The following is a 21,148-nucleotide window of genomic DNA, read 5'->3' on the forward strand; positions in this document are numbered from 1 at the left end:
GATGTTTTGTGTAAACCACTGAAGAGTAACTTCTTAACATGATGCCCTATTACTCCTGAAGACCTCCTGTATCATTCTTACAAGGACCTTCTCCTATATAAGCCAATACAACCATCAAAACTTGGAAAGTAACATTGATAGACTACAACTATCTAATTCTCAGACCCATTAAAGTCTCACCTATTGTCACAATAATGCTGTTTAGGGCAAAATAATCCAGTCTGAAAAAACAAGTTGCATGTAGTTACTATGTATATTTAGTGTCCTTTCATTTTAAAGAGTTTTTCAGTCTTTCATAATCTAGACATTTTAAAATTACAGATCAGTTATTTTGTAGACTGTCCCTCAATTTAGGGTTGTCTGATAACTGGTTGTGATTAGATTCCGATTACGCATCTTTGGCACAAATGCCACTGAAGCGACACTGTTCTTTTCACTGCATCCTGCAAGGTGGCACATGATTTCAATTTCTTCCATCACTGGTGATGTTAACTTTGATCAGTTGATTAAGGCGGAGTCTGCCAGTTTCTCCACTGTGAAGTTAATCTTTTTTTTTCCTTTGCATTTAAAAGTATTTTATAGGGAAGTACTTTGAGACTTGATAGATATTCTATTCCTCATCAAACTCTCAACTTATGAGGTGGGTGCAGTGGCTCACACCTGTGATCCTAGCACTTTGGGAGGCTGAGGCAGGAGGACAACTTGAGGCTTGGTCAGCAGGAGTCAGAGCAGCAGCCCCCTCCCTAGCAGCCCCTGCCCCTTCCGCAGTGGCCTTTGGACACCTGAAAACCAAAAAAAGGGCCCCTAAAATGTTACTCATGTATTGGGAAGTCAAAGCAAGAGACCTATTGCTACCACCGTTGTTTCTTGACATCCAAGAAGCAATTCTGGAAATTGCTGCCAAAAAACTACCACCTTTCCAACCAGTGGTAACAACCTGAAGCTGCAGACAGATTCCATTTTTCTCACTTTCGTATTCTAAAAACCCCACCCACAAGTGCATCTCATTAGAGGAAACTAATTCATGCAGGACTCTAGCTTCAAAGGGTGCTGGTAGGTGTTCTGAGGTGCTTGTAGATATTTGTTTGATTTGTTCCTTAGAGTTTGTTTATTTGTTGATTCCCAATTTACTCAAGGAGAAAGAGTAAAATGGAGGTGAAGGGGTTGATCCCAGGACCTCCTCTCTCTCATGCCATCCCTCACCATTATGATATCCAGTGATTTACCGTGTTAGAAAATCTGTATTTTACAGGGCACTCAAAGAAATATTTGCATCGAATACACAAAATATTCAGATCTTTTCATGGATTTTCCAAGCATATACATTATTTAATTTCTTCAGCCAATGCTTATATTGTCTTATAAAGTGAAACAGAAATAAGACCTACAAGAAACTCCAAATCCTGGCCACAGCTAATGTGGGCCTGTGTGATTCCCTTTTCTGCTCCCAGACCTGAAATTCTCTTAGCCACCCAGTCTCCTAATGCATCTCCCAACCAGTGCCTCTGGAAGGAAAAATGGATGTTTGTACCATCAGTTTCCTTTTTGTTTCAGTTTTCCCTCCACCCACTTTGACTCTTCCCCTTTGGCTTTCTTTTGCATTTTCAAGTTATCCCCACCCCTATACAGATATGGACAAGAAGTTTTACCCTTTATGATTCACTTTTGGCTTGAAAACATAGCCCCATTTACATTTAACACTCATGGGATTGACTTTGCCTAAGGCGGTTGTCGATGGAGTTGTCACTCACAGCTGTGCAGGGTGGCCTGGTAGTCACAGGATGCCTGGGGTGGGAGATGCACTCAGTGCTCCACCCTGATGCCTTCACATCCTTTGACCATTGTGTGCACACCTGTCTTCCTGTGTGTTTGCATTCCGGGTAGGCAGCACCTGCATCTCTTTGTCAGACAGCTGCCCTCCAGCTGCTGGAACCCACTTTGCCAGCCAAGAGTGAGAGACACCAGTGCCTGGGAATGTCCACATTCTCTCCTTCAAGGCCTTAAATAGTGACTAAGGAGGAGGTATAAATACTCCAGCTCCGCAGGCCCCTGTTAAACTCTGAGATGTGGCTTACACTGCCTGTCTCCAGAGCAATCCTGCCAGGCTAAGCCACGGTTCCCATCCATTCTGCTTCACTTGATACTACACACTTGCTTCGTTTCTTTCCTCTCCCACTCCCACTTTTCCACTCTCCTCCTAACTTTTCACTTTCAAATGTATCCTCTGGGGCTGGTTCTGGGAAACCCAGTCTAAGACTCGTGGAGAGATTGAATCTATTCTCTTAGTTCCCTTCAAAACAGGACATTTTGTAGCACAAATCCATGTGTTAATGCTTCTACTTCTATCAGTACAGGCTTATCTGTAATAGTAACTATTTAATAGTTATCATTTCTGGTTGGAAGACCCCTTTATCATAATTGAAATGAGTGTCAACATTTGTAAAACAATATGAGGGTCTAATAAGTTTCTAAATTTGCACATGATTTTCTTTAAAAAATCTGTTTTCTAACTAACTGATAAAATGAAAAAAATCTTCACGTTCTCTAGAAATAAAATAATACAAAGCCAAAATTTAATACTATTTTTTGCTTCCAATTAGCAAAGATTTTGAAAATTATCTCATTCAGTCCTGGCAAGGGTGAGGTGAGATACACTCATTTGCTGGTGTTGGGAGTGTAAATTGGTACCACCCTCTGGAAAGGCAATTTGTCAAAATATGTCAAGAGTCTTACAGGTGTTCCAGCCCTTTGGCTCAGTTCATACACTTTCAGGAATCTATCCTAAGGAAAATAATTTGAATTTTGGATAAAGAGTTATGCGTAAAGGTGTTTATCATTCAGCATTGGAAGTAAGCAAATACTCAGAGTGCAATAATTGAATAGATAAAGGAATAGTTACATGATGAAAGAATTTTGTGTGGCTGTTAAAAGATATGAGGGGTGTTTAATGATATCATAAAGTATTTTTTTAGAAAACAAAGCAGTTTAATAAGTTGCACATACCGCCTAGAAACAGTAATTCCACTACACAAAAGTTTAGCCTTAGATAAAATGATAGGAAGGAAATTTAGTGAAATCCCAAATGAAACCATCTCAAATGCACAGAAAAATTGCAAGAACAGTGCAAGGATGTTTTGTGTAAACCATTGAAGAGTAACCTGTTAACATGATGCCCTATCACTCCTGAAGACTTTCCTGTATCCGTTGTACAAGGACCTTCTTCTATATAACAGAACACAACCATCAAAACTAGTCAACACACTAGTATTTATATCTGTCTGCTTTTGTGAGAATGCAGATTTTGGATAACTTCCTTCTTTCCTTCCCTCTTTTTTTCCTTTCTATAGTGTCAACACTTTCACAATAGGTATGTATTAGTTTTCTAATTTAAAAAACATATTTTTTGTTCTCATATGTGGAAGCTAAAAACATGGATCTCATGGAGTTAGAGAGTAGATAGGTGGTTACCAGAGCCTGGAAAGAGTAGGAGGGTGAGGGGAATGAAGAGATTGATTAATGAACTCAAAAATACAGAAGAAACAAGATCTAGTGTTCAATAGTTCAGTAGAGTGACTATAGTTAACAATAGTTTGTGGTCTATTTCAAAATAGCTAGAGAAGAATCCGAATGTTCCCAACATAAAGATAAATGTTTGAAGTGATGGACATCCCAGTTGCCCTGATTTGATCATTACACATTGCATGCATGTATTAAAACACCACATGTACCCCCCAAAATATGTACAACTATTATGTATCGATTTTTTTAAGAGCATACCTTTTGGTAAATATTGAAATACATACATATACATGACAAAAACATGCTTTAAATCATCACAAGCTTTCACCTTCTGAGTGTCTCCAGTATACACGTTATTGAACTTCGCTTGGTTTCCTATTTTTTTAGTCCCATAATACCACTTTTAGCATCTACTTTAAGAAGAAACTTTCTTGTAAAGAATTAATTGAAAGGCAGGTGATACTCTATATTCCACTCTAACGAAATATTGTGATGCAACTCTGGGTACGAAGCTCTTTTTGTATGTGAGTCTTACTTTTGCTCTTCCTTAATGATACATTTATATACAAAGAAAGTTTGTGGAAATTTAAAAAGTATGCCTCCATTCCTAGTGCCTGTCCTGTCACAAAAACTATAGGAGTTATTATGTAAGTCATGCAATACAGTGATAAGGGCTTCACAATCTTCTTATCTGCCAAGAAAGAGACAGCAGAGGTCAAGACAACCAGAAAATGCAAAGTTTGAGGAAAAAAAGTATTAAAACAATAATTATGGAAAAAATAATCTATGTAAAATGAAAATTGAAGTCCTATTTCCATTATGAGGTTTATTAAATTTTCTTATGGAGTATAAACATTGTAAGAAATTGTGTGGTTTGTTCCTGTTTAACAATTATTAATCATTAATTAAATTGTCTCTGTGTATAATGCAAAACAGGCTTTTCAGTGGTATAATTCCCAGACTTCTAATCCAAGTAAGTCTCCTGGCTCCATTCCCTTCTAAGCACCTCAGAAAAGAATAAAATAGTAAAATAAATTCCTTTTTTAAAAAGATCTCAATGAAAATTGCCATTCCTTCCAATTCAATATTCATTGGAAATAGGCACTGATTCTCTTGGTGGATGAAAACCATTCACTTTAAAAGCTTTGGACACATGAAACTAGATGTAATGTGTCATCAAGGACTGGGAGGCAAGAGGACAATAAGCAAGGAAATGGCTGTGAGCTGCACCTGGGCAGTGGGTCCCTGTGGGAGGAGGATGCTGGAAAGGCAGGATCAGGGCAAAGGAAGAGGCGAGCCCAGGAGAAGGAGCTGTAGTGGGTGGCCGGGAAGTCAGCAGCTGGCGTTTAAGCACAGCCAAGAGAGAAGGGGATACAAAGTACTAAAGAGGGACTTGAGAGATTGAGGGGGCCTAGGAAGAGAAGTGTGTTCAAAAGATCCTGGGAAGAAATCCAAGGGACTAGACATTAGGTTAACAAGGCCCCAGTGGCTGCTAAGAGCAAGGATTTGGCCTGGAACTGAGGGTTGGGCTTGGAACCCCATAGAAAAGAACAAATAATCCCAATAAAGGACAGTACTAATGTCTAACCCTATGGGGGTGGGGGATGGGGGTGGGAGAGACAGAGAGAGAGAAAGAGGAATTCTTTATGTGGTCAGCTCTACATTATATGGTTCTAATGTAAATCAGTCAGCCAGCAGTCTGGGTCCATGTGGTTTGTCTTTGGTGGCCAATATTTCTTTGACCCCCTTTGGTTTGAGGCATCTCTGAATAATAGGTGATGCACAATGAAAAGTAGAAGTGGTTGTTAAGTTTTCTGGAACTCTGAAGCCCAACATCACACAGAGAGTGAAGCGCTTTCTCAAGCAGCACCCTAGTAAGGTGCCCAGAACTTGTATAAATTATCGCTTTCAGCCTGTGGTATGTTAGCAGGCAGGAAGGGGCCTTGAGCAAACTGAGTTTGTGATCATGTTTAATCGGCTGCCTTTCCCAGGCCACTCAAGGGGACTTGTCTGTAAGCTGGAAACGATTTATTCCTGAAGGGAACATGAAGCCAAGACTTTGTTCTCCAGCTCATAATGAGAAAAGAAGAAAACTACCTAAGCCCTTGAGTAATTCCTGTTTGAGAGTGCCTTACTCACTCTCTTCCCACAGAGTTCTACACTCCAGAAGGAAGGAAATGATTTAGAGCCCTGAGCAGAGATAAACCCGCTTTCAGCTCTAACCTGGTTTGCTGTCAGCACTGTTTAGATGAGAACATACAGCTGGTCCTGTATCTCCTTGATCAGGTTCCTCAATAATCCCAGCAATCTACATAAGTCAAAGGGGAATTAAGCACATTTGCCCAAGGGCCAGGATGTTGGCAGGGATTCATTCAAGCCTTTGCAGCTAAGGTGTGACTCCCATCGAGTTATATGCTAATGCATAGCCATGGTGTGACAAATGGAGGGGGTAAAAAGATACAGGCCCTGAGAGACATGTGAATAGAGTGAGAAAACACAGATGTTGAGATTCTTCTATTTTTACCTGGCAGTCAGGTTGTTTGCTTTGGGACATGTTATCTGTTATCCAGTAGGGAAATGCCTAGAAGTTCTCCAAGAAGTTCAGTCTGTGGCTCCCCGGGATCATTATCTATCAAGGAGGCAAAGGGGAAGCGGATGTCTTGCAAAGACGGCACGCTCTGGGATTAACTTCTCATGGGAAGTCAGGAAAGGAAGAAGGTTGTGCTGACATTTCTCCGAATCTAGGCTTGGCTTCTTCCACAAATGTTAAGGAAAGATGGGTGAAGCAAACCAAGATTGCCATAGGTATCTTCCTCTTTCTCCCATTTTCCTCTCTATCCCATGTCACCCACGTCACCCAGGACTCTCATACTGGCTTGTCTGTCCTGAAACTCCTTATGTGTTGGTCCCTCATTTGAGCGTGTATTGAGCACTGTCTAAATTTGTGCTGATATAACAAAATACCTGAGACTGGGTCATTTATAAAGAACTAAAACTTATTTCCTCACAGTTCTGGAGGTTGGGAATTTTAAGATAAGGTGCTGGAAGGTTCAGTGTCTGGTGAAGGCCCTGTCTTCTGCTTCCAAGATGGTGCCTTCTTGGTGCATCTTTGGGAGGGGACTAACACTGTGTCCTCACATGGCGGGAGGCAGAAGGGCAGAAGGGATCAATGCCAGCTCCCTCCAGCCATTTTATAAGGTCATTAGTGCTACTCATGAGGGCTCTGCCCCCACAACTTGATCACCTCCTAAAGACCCCACTTCTTGATACTATTATATTGGTGATTAAGTTCCAACATATGAATTTTAGAGGACACATTCAGATCATAGCAAGCACCTAATATAATCCATGCATTTTGGCCAGTCACTAGAGATATGAAACTGAATGTGAAACAAGCCATGCTCTTTGGAAGCTCACAATTTTGAAGGGTGCTAGGCTATAAGTCTTAGAATAATGGTATAGACATGTTATGGGACCACAGAGTCTGCCTGTCAGAAAGCTAGAGTCTAGAGTTGGGGAGTGAAGAGTCTAAGTGTGTCATTTGAAAAGAAGACATTTCAGTCAAGAAAGGAGTGAATCTAGGGACCAGGCTTAGGACAGTGTGCAAGGCACTCTGGGAAGACAGGGCCAGCCAGGGAGGCTAAAGCTTGAGGAATATGGGGTTGGTACAAGGGGCAGAGAGTCACCAAGAGGGGAGTCTAACTGGGAGGTTTGTCTTTGAAGGTTATATTCTATAGACTGGACATAGAATAGATGGGAATTTGAAATAGGAAAGTGGCAGTAAAGATATAAGAGAGAGGGACTATTCAGAAAGATAGTTCAGACAGAATTCTCAGGACTGGTTGATCATAAAATATGAGTGTTGAGAGAAGTTGGAATGTAAGATACCTGTGAGGTTTCTGGCTTGGGCAGTGATTAGAGTGGCATGTCCATGGACTGAGACGGGTTTGGTGAAAATGCACACGGGAACTGATGAGTTCAATGGAGATCAGTTGATTGCAGGTGTCTAGGAGATGGGCAGATGAATTGGGTTCAAACTGGAAGAGAGGGCTAAGAGTGTACATACCAGTTGGAGACTTATGAGTACATTGCTGAGAGATACATGAAGGGAATAGAAAAGATCAGCTAGGAGGGCCTTTCAGCCTTACGTTAGGCAGTGTCTTATATTTTAAAATTACTTCTCTCCATCTCTTCTATGAATTAAAACTCAATCCTGCCCCGCCACACTCTTAAGAAGAAAGCAGATGCTATGTTGGAGCTAACTAAAGGAAAAATGACTGATTGCTAGGTTGGAGGATTAGTTTCCTGAAGAGTATTTGCTTTTGAAGTAAGGTCCAAAATCTCAAGGATGAGAGTGAAAAAGCTGCAAAAAGAATAATACAATGTACATACTACTTGAACACTACCACCATATAATTTTATAACACTCTTGGAAGGCAGGTGGAACTGATATTATTAGTTTTATTACATAGACAAGCAATCTAAGGCTTAGATTAATTTAATGACTTCTCTGAATTTACATATGACAGAGTTAGAATTGAACTGGTTTCTTAAATTCCAATCCAATGGGTTTAACTAGTTTCCCTTACACTAGTCTGCTTTCACAAACAATAAGTGGAAAGGTGAGTATTACTGATTGCTGTTGGGAGTTAAAAAGTGTCTTCCTTCCTTACTGTGGAGGGGGAAGAGGAAGGTCAGTGGAAGGTTTATGATGGCAAAAATGCCCAGGAAGTAACATTTTGGTAGTAAATCTCCAGATTTGCTTTGTTGTAGGATTTCAAAGATGAATGAATGCTTGTTTGCCCAAAGGTCTGCATCTCGACGGCTGGGCCGTGACAACTGTGGGGCTTCTCAGGTCACAACACCAAGGTGCCCACTCCCTCAAAGATTTGCCCTGTCTTTTAATTCTCAATTGAATTGTGATATATCTATGCATATTTCCAACCAAAATCACTCAAACTTCAAAGTTAAAATGAAAGGCTAGCACTTTTAGAGTTATGCATGTTGTAAATATTCCATGGTTTTCAGCCCCAGAGTAAGAAATATAATAGTTTTTCATTCTAATGCCCTATTATTTACCTGACCTGACTGGAAAAAGAGAAAGAGAAAGACCTTGACCTTTTGCCATTTTCTTAAAGCGTATTTTATAGTCTGCATAATAAGGCAGTGGCTGTTTCAGTGATATTTTGTCCTGAAATCGATGTTAGAGATCGCCTCACGAGTGATTTGTAATGGAATTTTTATTTGATTTGCATTTTTACATTTACAATGCAATTTTCTCTGACACGTTATTTTTCTTGTAAGTTGCACTAAAACACGATATAAATAAGTAGATTACATTGCTAAATAAAGGACAGGAAAAACATTAAAAAACTAGAATCAAATAATTAAACTTTTTTAAAGGACTGGGTCAATATATATATTTTATTATGTTTGGAAACTGAAAAAGTTAAACAGATATGAAATACTCATAATTTTGAAATGATTTTGCAAATTGGGAAGCTATAGTAATAGAATAAGTTATTTAAAAATGTGTATCAGTTTCACCATAACTTCACTGGCATTTATTCATTCAACAGATATTTATTAAGCACTTACTAAGTTTCTATCACTGATCTTGGTGCCCAGGATAAAGCATTCAATCACACAAAATAGTTTCTCCCTCATGGAACTTTTATAACCTGGTAGGGTAGAGTGAGTGTGTGTAAGTGTGTGTGTGTGTGTATGTGTGTGTGAGTGTGTGTGTGTGTACACACATATGTATGTGGAGATACTCATATATGGGCACATATACATATGTAAACATACACATTTACATCTATAGTTTACTAACTTACTAGTTTAATGGGGAGATTGCATCATTGCAGCTTCAGCTGACATTTGATTTCTAGTGAGCCTGGGCATTCTTTCATTATTTCTGTCAGTTCTACTTCTAGAAACATTTGCTGTTCATATCTGCTTCTTACTTTAGGCTTACTGATTTTCTTATCAGTTTGAATGATATATTTACATAATCATGCCACATTTACTGATAATGTTTTCCAGCCTTATATATTTATGTGAAACATCTGTCTATATGAATGTACACAAGTTATTATGTAATCAGTTTATCAATCTTTTCCTTTCTGATCTGTGTTCTCACTTCCAAACTTAGAAAGTCTCACCCAGCACCTCTTCATCCTCTCCTTCCACTAACCTGGGTCCAACAAAGGAACAGGAAGAGAAAAGATACAATTTTTTAAAACCCTATCTTTATGTAAACTAACTTACATGTATGTGCAATTTACCATATATTGTTTCATAGGTAAACATTGGATCGTAATTTTCTTGCTATCTTATAACCTGGGACTTTTATCTTTCTTAAAATAACAACATTTTCCCATGTTAATAGATACATATCTAGTTCTGTTTGCTAATTTTTGTACCCTCCAATTAACAAATATTTATATTTGTTTTTGAGGTTTTTTCACCATTATGACTATTGTTGAGATGGACATATTTGCTTACATATTTTTTCTCATATTCTTCCCTTAGGATATATTTCTATAAATACATATTTCTATAAATAGAATTTTGGAGTCAATTTTTTTTTTAAATACATATCGCCAAATAAAGTGGCATTATTAGAGGACAGCCAGGTTTCAGTTGGGGCTGGAAGTGAAAGGAATCTTCTGTGAGAACATTGGGAATGAGAGAGAAGAAAGGAAGGAAGAAAGGACGAGATGGAGGAAGGGAGGCAGGGAAGGAGGGAGCAAGGAAGGAAGCAAGGAAGGAAGAAAGAAAGGAGGAAGGAAAGAAGTGAGGGAGGGAGGGGAGGAAAAAAGGAGGGAAAGAGGGAGGAAGGAAGGAAGAAAAGAAAAAAGGAAGGAAGGAAAGAAGGAAAGAAGTGAGAGAGGGAAGAAGTGAAGGAGGGAGGGAAGGAAGAAAGGAGGGAAAGAAGAAGGGAGGAAAGAAGGAGGGAAGAAGGAAGGGAGGAACAGAGGAAGGGAGGGAGGAAGGAAAGAAACAAAGAAAGAAAAGTAAGAAAGAAAGGAAAAGAAAGAGAGAAAGAGAAAAAACAAAGGAAGAAGGAAAAGAAAGAAAAGTAAGGAAAGAAAGAAAGAGAGAAAGAGAAAAAAAGTAAGACGGAAAAGAAAGAAAGAAAGGAAGGAAGGAAGAAAGAAAGAGAAAAGAAAAGAAAAGAGCCAAAGTCACAGAGTGCCTAAGTTAGCTAGTATACTAATGGTGGGGAAAATGGGATGGAGGTGGGTTAAGGACAATAAGGGAATGATAATATGAAAGTTATTAGGTGGGGTGGGGAAGGGAATGAAGAATGAAAAGGAAGTGGCCACCGAGCTCATCTGTGAAGCAGGATGAAAACCTACCTCAGTGGTATCCAAGAAGAAAAGTCGAATTCAGGAAGCCAGGAAGGAGAAAAAACACTTTAAGAAACATAGAGTAATCAACTGTGGCAAACGAGATTGAGAGATTGTGTAATTCGAGTGCTGGAAATTGACCATTGGATTTAGCAAGATGTAAGTTGCCAGTGGTCTTGACAGAATCAATTTAGCATTGTGTTGGGACTGAAAGTCTGAAGAGGTAAGAGGAGGTAAGAACGAGTTGACAGTGAGTTAGACCAAATTTACTGGGGAGCTTTGCTTTAAAAGAGGGCATTTCTAATAATAGGGTGAGAGATGGAGAAAGACAAGATCTAGGCAACATTTTTAAGATAGGAGATTCTGGGATTTGAGAGAATCCAGTAAAAAACATTATCTTTATATATGACCAAATTCTGAATCTACTGAGAGATAGGAAACAGGCAGTCAAAGATCAAAATATTACTTTCATTACTGACAAAAGTGTTGGTAGGTGGATTTAAGTCTATTAGCTAAAATACAATTAATAATATTGTACCGAGAATTAAGCAGACTTATCTGCCCAGTTCCTGGCAGCTCTGAACAATTGTGGGCCTTCCTCATGGGGGTCTACCCTTTTAAAACATAATTTTAAGGAAAGAAATAGAATGTGGGCTTTCTCCAGGCAGGGGGAGCCCAAGGAGGAAAGTGAAAGGAAGAAAGATCTGAGCTCAACTCCTCCATTTACCAATCACAACATTTATTTTTCCTGCCCTGGGAGAATGAATGAGGAATTCTTCCCTAAAAACGGATATTCTACCATGTCTTCTCATTGATGGAAATGACCAAATAGAAAGGGAGAAACTGATGATGCAGGAGTGAAGGGGAGAATTTCAAGACCAGAGTCCTTGAGTAGTTTACAGGAGATGAGATCCAGTACCCAAGCATTTGATAGGAACTAGGAAAGATTATCCCACTTACCAGGAATGAAGGCAGAAGATAGGGGTACAGATATATTTAGACTGACAAATTTTGTGTTGAAAGATACATTTTCTCTTCTGATTGTTCTTATTCTTCAGTGAAATAGGAAGTGAGATCATCTGCTCTGAGTGAGAAGGGGAGAACAGGTTTGAAGAGACAGAAGGTGTGAAATAATCTTCCCAAAGAGTGGAAAAGCAAATTGCCTAGAGAGACAAAGAAAATTGGTTGGGCAGTGCTGAGGGTTTGTTTGAGTTTTGTGGTTTAAAATTTCAAGTGAGTCCATGCAGCATAATAGTAGATTTTTTTTTTCTGGCCATGCTCTGCTCAGATGCAAGGAGAGGGGATGTGGAGAGTTTTAATTAACCAAGTTTGTGCTCTTGCAAAATGAATCCTATGGAAAGAAAAGGGGAAAGGTTGTTTAGGTTGTATGCGAGGGACTGATGGACCATAGAATTTAGTCTAGTTTGAAAAGATGGAAATGAGAAGAGAGGTTTGATGTAAAGGAAAGAGATGAATGGGCAACAAACTGATGGTCTCTGTGGGTCAAAGGGCTTTTGCGGTTTGAGTACTGGAATAAATATGTTAGAAAATTAAGAGTGATTGTCAAAGATTGGAATGCCTGAAATTGATATTTGGAAAAGTTAAAGGTAATAATGAGGTTCAGAGTTTAATTATGAGAGTGAGTGGAGTGAATGGCTGAGGTCGATTGGTTGAAAACATCAAAGTAAAAAGATCTGAGAGGAAAGTTGTTGAATGGAAGATCTAGATAATTGTTGAAGTAATCAAGAATGATTACTGGATAGTCTGCAGGCTGAGGTGGGAGGACAGCTTGAGGCCAAAAGTTGGAAGTTGGAGTGAGCTATGATTGTACCATGACAGAGAGAGACCCTATGTCAAAAGAAAAGGAAAGAGAAAAGAGAGAGAGAGAGAGAAGGAAGGAAGGAAGGAGAAGAAAGAGAAAAGAAAGAAAGAAAGAAAGAAAGAAAGAAAGAAAGAAAGAAAGAAAGAAAGAAAGAAAGAAAGGAAGGAGAGGAAAGAGAGGAAAGAAAGGAAAGAAAGAGAGAGAGAGATTAAGGAATACTGACAGAGATATACCATTAACTGAGTGCTAAAATCTTCAATAAGTTGTATGACTGAAAGGCCAGAAAATGATTGCAAGATGGAATAGTAGAAGGTAGTTTAGTCTAATGACATATGCCTCAAAAGATTTTTGAAATAAAAAAGAAAAGAAAAGACCTAGAAAAACAATGATGAATAAGAAGGGCTCCAATCACCATCTCTTTAGTTTATGATGTGGGCATTGTGTGGGGAAAAGCAGATACCCCTAAGAGGGCTTCAAGGAAAGTAGTGTCCTCCTTTTAGGAGACAATTAGGTTTTAGATAAATCATAAAATAAAGGAATGAGTGTTCAAAGGAGAGACTGAGGATGCGAGAGATTATTCCAAAGAAAGGACAGGCTAGGCATGGTGGCTCATGCCTGTAATACCAGCACTTTGGGAGACCAAGGCGGGTGGATCACCTGAGGTCAGGAGTTCGAGACCAGCTTGGCCAACATGATGAAACCCTGTCTCTACTAAAAATACAAAAATTAGCCAGGTATGGTGGCTGGTGCCTGTAATCCCAGCTACTCGGGAGGCTGAGGCAGGAGAATAACTTGAACCTGGGAGGCGGAGGTTGCAGTGAGCCAAGATCGCACCATTGCACTCTAGCCTGGGTGACAAGAGCAAAACTCCATCTCAAAAACAAAAAAGAAAGAAAGAAAGAGAAAGAGAGAAAGGAAAGGAAGGAAAGGAAGGAAAGAAAGGAAAGAAGGGAAGAATGGAAGAAGGAAAGGAAGGAAGGAAGGGAGAAAGAAAGAGAGAGAGAGAGAAAAAGGTGGAAGGATTTAGATGATTAGAGAATATAGATCTTTATATATGGAGATATTTCCGCATGTTCTTTGATGATGTGGGTTCTCAAATTTGTGAAAGAGATATACTTTTGGTACTAAGGTATATGAGGCATGATGGCATTTATTCCTGATGATTTCTTAGAGAAAAGAGAGACATCTCTTTCATTTACAACCATTTTTGATTACAATAGAGGAGAAGTGGGCAGCGTCTAATAGTGAATGGTGATCTTACCACAGTCTTATAGAAATCTGGGAAGTTCCTCAAATTCAGCTGTGGGTAGTATTACAGTACATTGAGCTACCCAGTTTACTCATCTCTTTCCAGAATTTTCTTTGACATTCTGGTCCGTTTAGTCTATTGGATACAATGTAATACTACGTTGCAAGGTTTCCCAAAACACGTTGTTGATCTTGACTAATTCTTATGATTGATTTGGAGCATAGTAGAAAAATATTGGAATCTTCCTCTTAATTCCACTAAAAGGTAAATTCTCCCCCTCTTCTGAATTTCCCATAAGCCTTTACCTAAATCTCTCATATAACATTTTTATTGTAATTATTTTTATGAGTATCATATATCTATGACTTACACAACTTTCTATTACACTACAATGCCCAACACTGTACCTTACACGTAGAGGGTCTTTAATAAGTATATGTGGAATGAATGAATTTTAAAAGCAATGAACAAGATGGAAGTCAGACTGTATTCTCAAATTATTCTGCTTCTCACTATGTATGTGACCTTGAGCAAGATATTCAGCTTCTCTTATTTACATCTGTAGGGTGGGAATAATAACTATCCTGTTTATCTCACAGGCTGCTGAAGTTGTGAGAAGTGTGAGAGCTAGAGGCAACATTTGCAAATGCTTTGAACACTGATTGCAAATAAGCTAACTCAACACTCAAATACAAAAAAAAATTATCATCTATTACAAGACAATTTGATAACTTGGAGGAAGCCCTCCATTACATATACAACAATTATTTTTGGCTTAGACATATCTGGAAAGAAAATGTCTAGATAGGACTCATATGATAATTAGAGTCTCTCATTCTGCCATCCATAGAACAGAAGTACGGCTGAAGGCAGCAGCTATGAACTGACTAGCCTCGACTCCAAATTCAACAAAAATTTTCTATGGCTTCATATCATAACCAAAATCCCAGCATTTTTAATTTATTCCTTGGAACTAAACATTGTCTTTATTCTTTGAGTTCTAGTTCAAACAAAATAGAGGAATGGTACAAATCCCAGCTTTGTGATTAGCTGGGCCTATGACTTTCACAAAGCTTCCTAATTTGTACAATAGGTACAATATTATCATCTTCCCTTTAAAGTTATCATGAGGACAAAATAAGATAATGTAATGATACCTGTCTCATGCCAGTCCCTCAATAAATGTTAGAGATTCTTTATCACAAAGTCTCTAATAACAGCGAAGATGGTAGATGAAATGGAAAACAAAGTTATCACACAAAGAACCAAAAATTTGAAAGACAGCTTAGAAAGAGGTTAATAAAATAACCAAACCTATGGGAAAATCAGTCAAGAGAAAAATCAAGGAAGAACACACAGAAAATGCTAGAAATGAAAAAGCGCTCTAACTGCAGATATAGCATAGATTAAAATTTAATAAGGGAGTATAGTTAGTACTTAATGGCAGTAAAAAATTATGTTACCAAGTTTATAAGAATAGATATTAATACATTTCTAGAAAAAAATTATAAATTTCCAGGTTTATAAGTAACAAAGTTGGAATATTCCTATAACCATAATTAGGTAACCATAACTAGAGGAGCGAATATGTAAGATAAAGTAGCTTCACATTTTGGAGTTCTTTGCAGCAGTTAGAATGCCTAGATATGCATAAAAACACCTAAATATATGTGAAAAACAAGGCTGAGAAGAAAAGAATTAGAGAAATATATTATGCAATATCATTTAAAAAATTAAAATACATGCTGAAACATATGCTACAATAACACAAACCAAAAGATTCACATCAAACAAATTAGAATATTTGCCTGTGAAGAGAGAATGGGGAATGGGGAAAGGGAGGGAAAGAAGAAGAGAGGAAAAAGGAAAGGAGGAAGGAAAAAAGGAAGATAGAAAGCAAGGGAGGGAGGAAGAGAAAAAGGAGAGAGAAAGGGACAGAAGAAAGCAGGCAGCATGTTCAAAGATCCAAACAATCACTATTGTAAATACATTCATTCTCTCCAAATTGATTTGTAGATTTGAGAAAATTCTAATATAAATTCGTATTGGGTTCTTAGTGGAAGTTGACAAGTTGATTCTAAAATTCATGTAGAAGAACAAAAGGTTAGAGTAGTTGTTATAATCCTAAGGAAGAATAATAAGACAAAAAGACTAACAAAAATCATAACTTATTGCACAGCTTTAATAGTTAAGAGCATGATCTTGGCACAAGTGTAGCAAATAGATCCATGGAACATAATGTAGAACTCAGAATGGAACTCTGTATAATACAGAACCCCACATATATGGAAACCTGATATGTGACAGAGGTGGGAGAGGGGGGAACGTACACTGTGCAGTAAATAGTAATGTGGTGAGGCATTTGTTATGGACAGAATTGTGTCCCTCCAGAACTATGTTGAAGCTCTAACTCCTCATGTGACTGTATTTAAATAGAGATAGGAGCTATAAGAAGGTAATACAAGTTAAATGAAGTTATAAGGATGGAACTTTGATCTGACAAGACTGGTGCCCTTGTAAGAAGAGACAACAGAGATCTCTCTCTCTCTGTGAGCACAAAGAGAAGAGGCCATGTGGAGACACAGGGAGAAAGCAACAGTCTACAAGCCAGGAAGAGAGTTCTCACCAGAAACCAACTTGATGGCACCTTGCTCTTAGACTTCTAGCCTCCAGAATGGTGAGAAAATAAATTTTTGTTGATTACTCCATCCAAAATACCACGTTGTAATATTTTGTTATGGCAGCCAAAGCAGACTTATATATACGTGGTCATCCATTTGAAACAAAAAATTTTTCTTCCCATGCCACGCATAGAAACCAATTACAGATGTATTAAATGCTTAAGTATGAAAACAAAACTTGAAAACTTTTAGTAGATGAAGCAGAAAAATACTGTTATGATCTTGATGTCAGGTATGATTCCTTAAACATGATGAAAAAGGTAACCACGGCAGAAAATATATTTTGACTAAATAAAAATTTAAAACTTCTGTTTATCAAAGGGCATAATACAGAAAGTAAAAAGACATTTATCACATGGAAAAAAAACAAACAGAATATAGTTTTTTTAAGACTTGTATATCAAATAAAAGACAAAAAAAAATACCCCGAGGAAAAATAGCCAAAAGACATGAATGCAAAAGAGGAAATATAAACAACCAATAAACATATGAAAAGGTGCTCAGCCTCGTTAGTATTCAGAGAAGTACAAATTAAAATCCCAATGACGTACTCTTTCATACACATCAGATTGGCAAGCATTCTAAAGTCTGGCAACCCCAAATGTTGGCAAGGCTGTAGGACAGGCTGATCTTTCATATATTGCCAGTGGGGATGTACATTTATACAACTACTTTGGAAAACAATTTGGCACGAGGCAATAAAACTGATGGTGGACCTACCCCACGGCCCTGCTCTTTCACACATATTTTGTGCCCTAGAGAAAATTCTGCATATGTGCACAAGGAATCAGACAGGAGAATGATCACAGAAGCACTGGTCATATTGGTATGAAACCAGGAGGAGCACAATGCCCATACACAGTAGAATGGGTAATAAGCTGGGGTGCAGCTATAGCATAAAATGCTATACAGTGGTAGAAATGAGTACTACAGTCATGACTATTACCACAGATAAATCCCAAAGTCATATTGAGTGGAAAAAGCAAATAGCAATCACATAAAGTATTCTATTTATGTAATTTTAAAAACACATAGATGTAACAAAGCTATTTTAGGGAAACTTACACATGTAACAAAATGCAATAAAACAGGAGGGAATTATAAACATTAGGAGGAGAGGAACAGAATTCAACTGGGGTTGCCTCAAAGATGTAGGTAACCTATTGTGGTCCTTTTTGTCTGAAGCAGTATGCTACATATGAAGTGTTCACTTTATGTTAAATATTATACACAGATACATATACACACAAATGAGAATGTGTATATAAATATGTATATGTTCATTCATATTATACACATTATATTCCTTCTTTTGTATGTTTGTAGTATTTCATAGTAAAACTGAAAACAAAGGAAGAAAAACAGAGAGGTAAGCTTCTAGTCAGCATATAAACGGTCTCCAGGGTAAGCTATGAGAGGTGGTGCTGATTTCTTCTCCAAGCCTGAATTCACCCTAACTTGTGCTTTTACACAAAGATAATTCCAAAAAGGCTGTGGCTGGGGACACGAATGTTGATGCAGATCCACAAAGACACCCATGCATGCAAGCACACACACAGATTGCATTCATAACTGTCACCTTTCCTTCCTCTTTTCCAGAGACACAAATTAGACTAGCAATTTAGCAGGCCACTCTCATTAATGGAAGTGGAGGACCATGGGTATCAAAGATTAGCCTTGAAATGAACCATCTAGATTTCCTCCTTGGCCTGAAGGAGAAGGAAATGGATCAGGTCTGGGAGGGGAGACTTTGCAGAGCCCAGAAGTTTGTCATGCAGGAGGGAGCTGTCTGAAGAGGCTGGGAATGCTGGCCTACGGGGAAGGCATGTGTGGAGTTGACCTTCAGAGAGCAGTATCAGGCGTATCAAATGCACTCACCCTTCTGAGATTCCTTCTTCCCTTTGACATTGCTAAAAATGGAATCAGCTGCAAACGGTATGTGACTGTGTATGGTAATTTGCGTAAAGCTTGTCAAGTGTAACATTTAGCCAGAAACATGGTATGGTCTGGGATCGAAATATTATTTTTAAGATGAAGTGGAATAGCATTCTGGCAAGCCAGTGAAACCCCAGAAGACCAGCCAACCCTTTAAAAACTTTGCTTTCTCCCCAGACACCTCTCCAAGCCCTTGCAGAGGCTATGAAGGGCTTTCCAGTAGCTTGCCATGCTGGAGGTAAAAACACATCACTCACTCAGCTGTAGGCAGAGCCCCTGGGGACTACCTGTTACTAACAGGACCATGTCATTCCCCAAGCAGAGTCTGGTGAAATCCAGAAACTGAATGTCTTTTCAGAGTGATTACAGCTGGTGAAGTCACCGTGTTCTTTCTACAATTTTTTTTTCTTGTGAATTGAGACCACATGGCAATAGAACAAGTTACATTTAGGCCTTTTACTAAAAGGCAATTTTTGAGGTGATTTGTCTGCCTTTGGCTCAGAGTTAAGTTTACCTCCGTTAACAAGAACATTTAACTTTAGATGTCTTGAATTGAAGAAACTGGAAAACCCAGGAGTCCTGCCCATCAGCTGCAATACATTTATATTAATTCTAGAAACTGGAAAGCGTTTAAAGAAAGAAGAGCTCTTTGGGTTTTCTCTTAATCATTCGTGTGTATCACCGGATATAATAAAATCATACCACATAGTGTTTTATTTTGCTACAGTGAATGCTAACCTTTAGGAGTGTGCCATGACACGCCTGAGTAATGGAATTAGCTTGAGTTGAGTCTGGATTTAATGCAAACCTGAGAAATGGTTAGCATGGCCCGGATCTCAAGTTGGCATGAGTTACTTCCCCAACCTCTTTATCGCTTCCGCTGGTTGTATAGCACAAACATATTAGGGAATGTTTTAAAAATAAGGAAAAGGAGAAAGGAAAAATGAACAAGAGAATGAAGAAAGAGATAGAAGACAAAGATGAAATGAAGAAAGTAAGAAAAAGGGGAAAAAATAGATGTGAGACTAGTAGGGGAGGAGGGAACAGAGATAAAACATCAGCTTAGGCTGGGTGTGGTGGCTCACGCCTGTAATCCCAGCACTTTGGGAGGCCGAGTTGGGTGGATCACGAGGTCAGGATATCGAGACCATCCTGGCTAATATGGTGAAACCCCGTCTCTACTAAAAATACAAAAAATTAGCCGGGCGTGCTGGCGGGCGCCTGTAGTCCCAGCTACGCGGGAGGCTGAGGCAGGAGAATGGAGTGAACCCGGGAGGCGGAGCTTACAGTGAGCCGATATCGCGCCACTGCACTCCAGCCTGGGCGACAGACTCTGTCTCAAATAAAAATAAAATCAGCTTAGTCCCTGAATTGAGCATGTTTCTGCAAGCCTCAAGGAGGCTCCCAGGGACACTGCCTCCTCCCTTAAGTAGAAGCCTCAAGTCAAGGGTTTCAATGGAAGTTATTTTTGCTTTTTTCCCCCTAGAAGGAGCTCTATTAGATTAATGAGTAATTCGAGCAGGGGCCTGACTGTCCTAGCCTGATTAAGATCAAGATCCCAAAAAGCAAGGCGCAGGACATTCTATCCTGAACCCACATGCTCCTGCTTGACCCTTTGACCTGGTCAGCAATGTTCAGAATGACACAAAGTGGACTGCTCACGCCCGAAGTTTGCAGAAACAGAATTAATATCAAAAGTATATGATTCCCCCTCACCGACTTTTGGTTATTTGACTTAAAGGAATGCATACCTGCATACAGGCGCTCGCGTACACGCACACACACACACACACACACACACACGAGTACTTGAACTTAAGGCTTTTCAAGTAATTAAGCACAGGCTGCTTGTACATCATTGTGTCTTTCCACACACAATTAACATAAGAGTGTATTCAGGCCACTGGTGACATCCCCTTCATGATCTCTATCACAGGACCATCCCGCTGCATCATCACTTGCTAGTTGACTTCAGAGCCCCATCTTTTTCTCGTGTCAGTAGCCCTGAATGACAATGTCACTCTTTCTTATGGTTCTGAGGACACTCAGTTAGGGAGTCTGTTATTTATTCGCTGAACAAAAAGAAAAGCTAATTTCCCAAGCACACAGCAAAGGGGAGCTGGGCCATACCAGCTAAATCCTACTTTTGTATTTGATGAGCTTTATTGGGGATTTGCATACTCAGTAAGGAAAACTGACAGACATGTGCTCTGCACTGTGTTATTATTTCACATCCCATCACTGCTTCTCTTTTGTCCAGTTTGAAGCCCTGGAATATTCTCTTATTTTTTAAAGTTTTGTCATTTGTCATGGAGGTACAAGATTGGCAATGCCACCAAAATGAAGTGGTCAAAGATAAATGATATTCTTTACAAATGACATTGGAAAGAAGAAAAGGCATTCCTGGTTCTATGGCTAATGCTAATAATCTAGCATTTATTTAACATTAGATTATTTATGGTTAGATTATTGGAATAGTATTAGATTATTATTTAAACAAGATAACAAAGGGTTGCAATACATAGTTCTATGTATCTCATACTTACTTTGTACCAGTCATTGTTTATCTCTGTTAGTCTTCAATGCA

At 38.8% G+C, this 21,148-nt stretch overlaps 1 long non-coding RNA gene across 4 annotated transcripts in view; it reads left to right on the forward strand.

The window, feature by feature from the left end:
• The window catches only part of LOC124900354 (uncharacterized), a 165,186-nt gene that overhangs the window by 43,230 nt on the left and 100,808 nt on the right, over positions 1-21,148 (forward strand). The gene's annotated exons all lie outside the window — the stretch shown is intronic.

Source organism: Homo sapiens, chromosome 15, assembly GCF_000001405.40.
Source record: "Homo sapiens chromosome 15, GRCh38.p14 Primary Assembly".
In the NCBI taxonomy this organism is placed as follows: domain Eukaryota; kingdom Metazoa; phylum Chordata; class Mammalia; order Primates; family Hominidae; genus Homo; species Homo sapiens.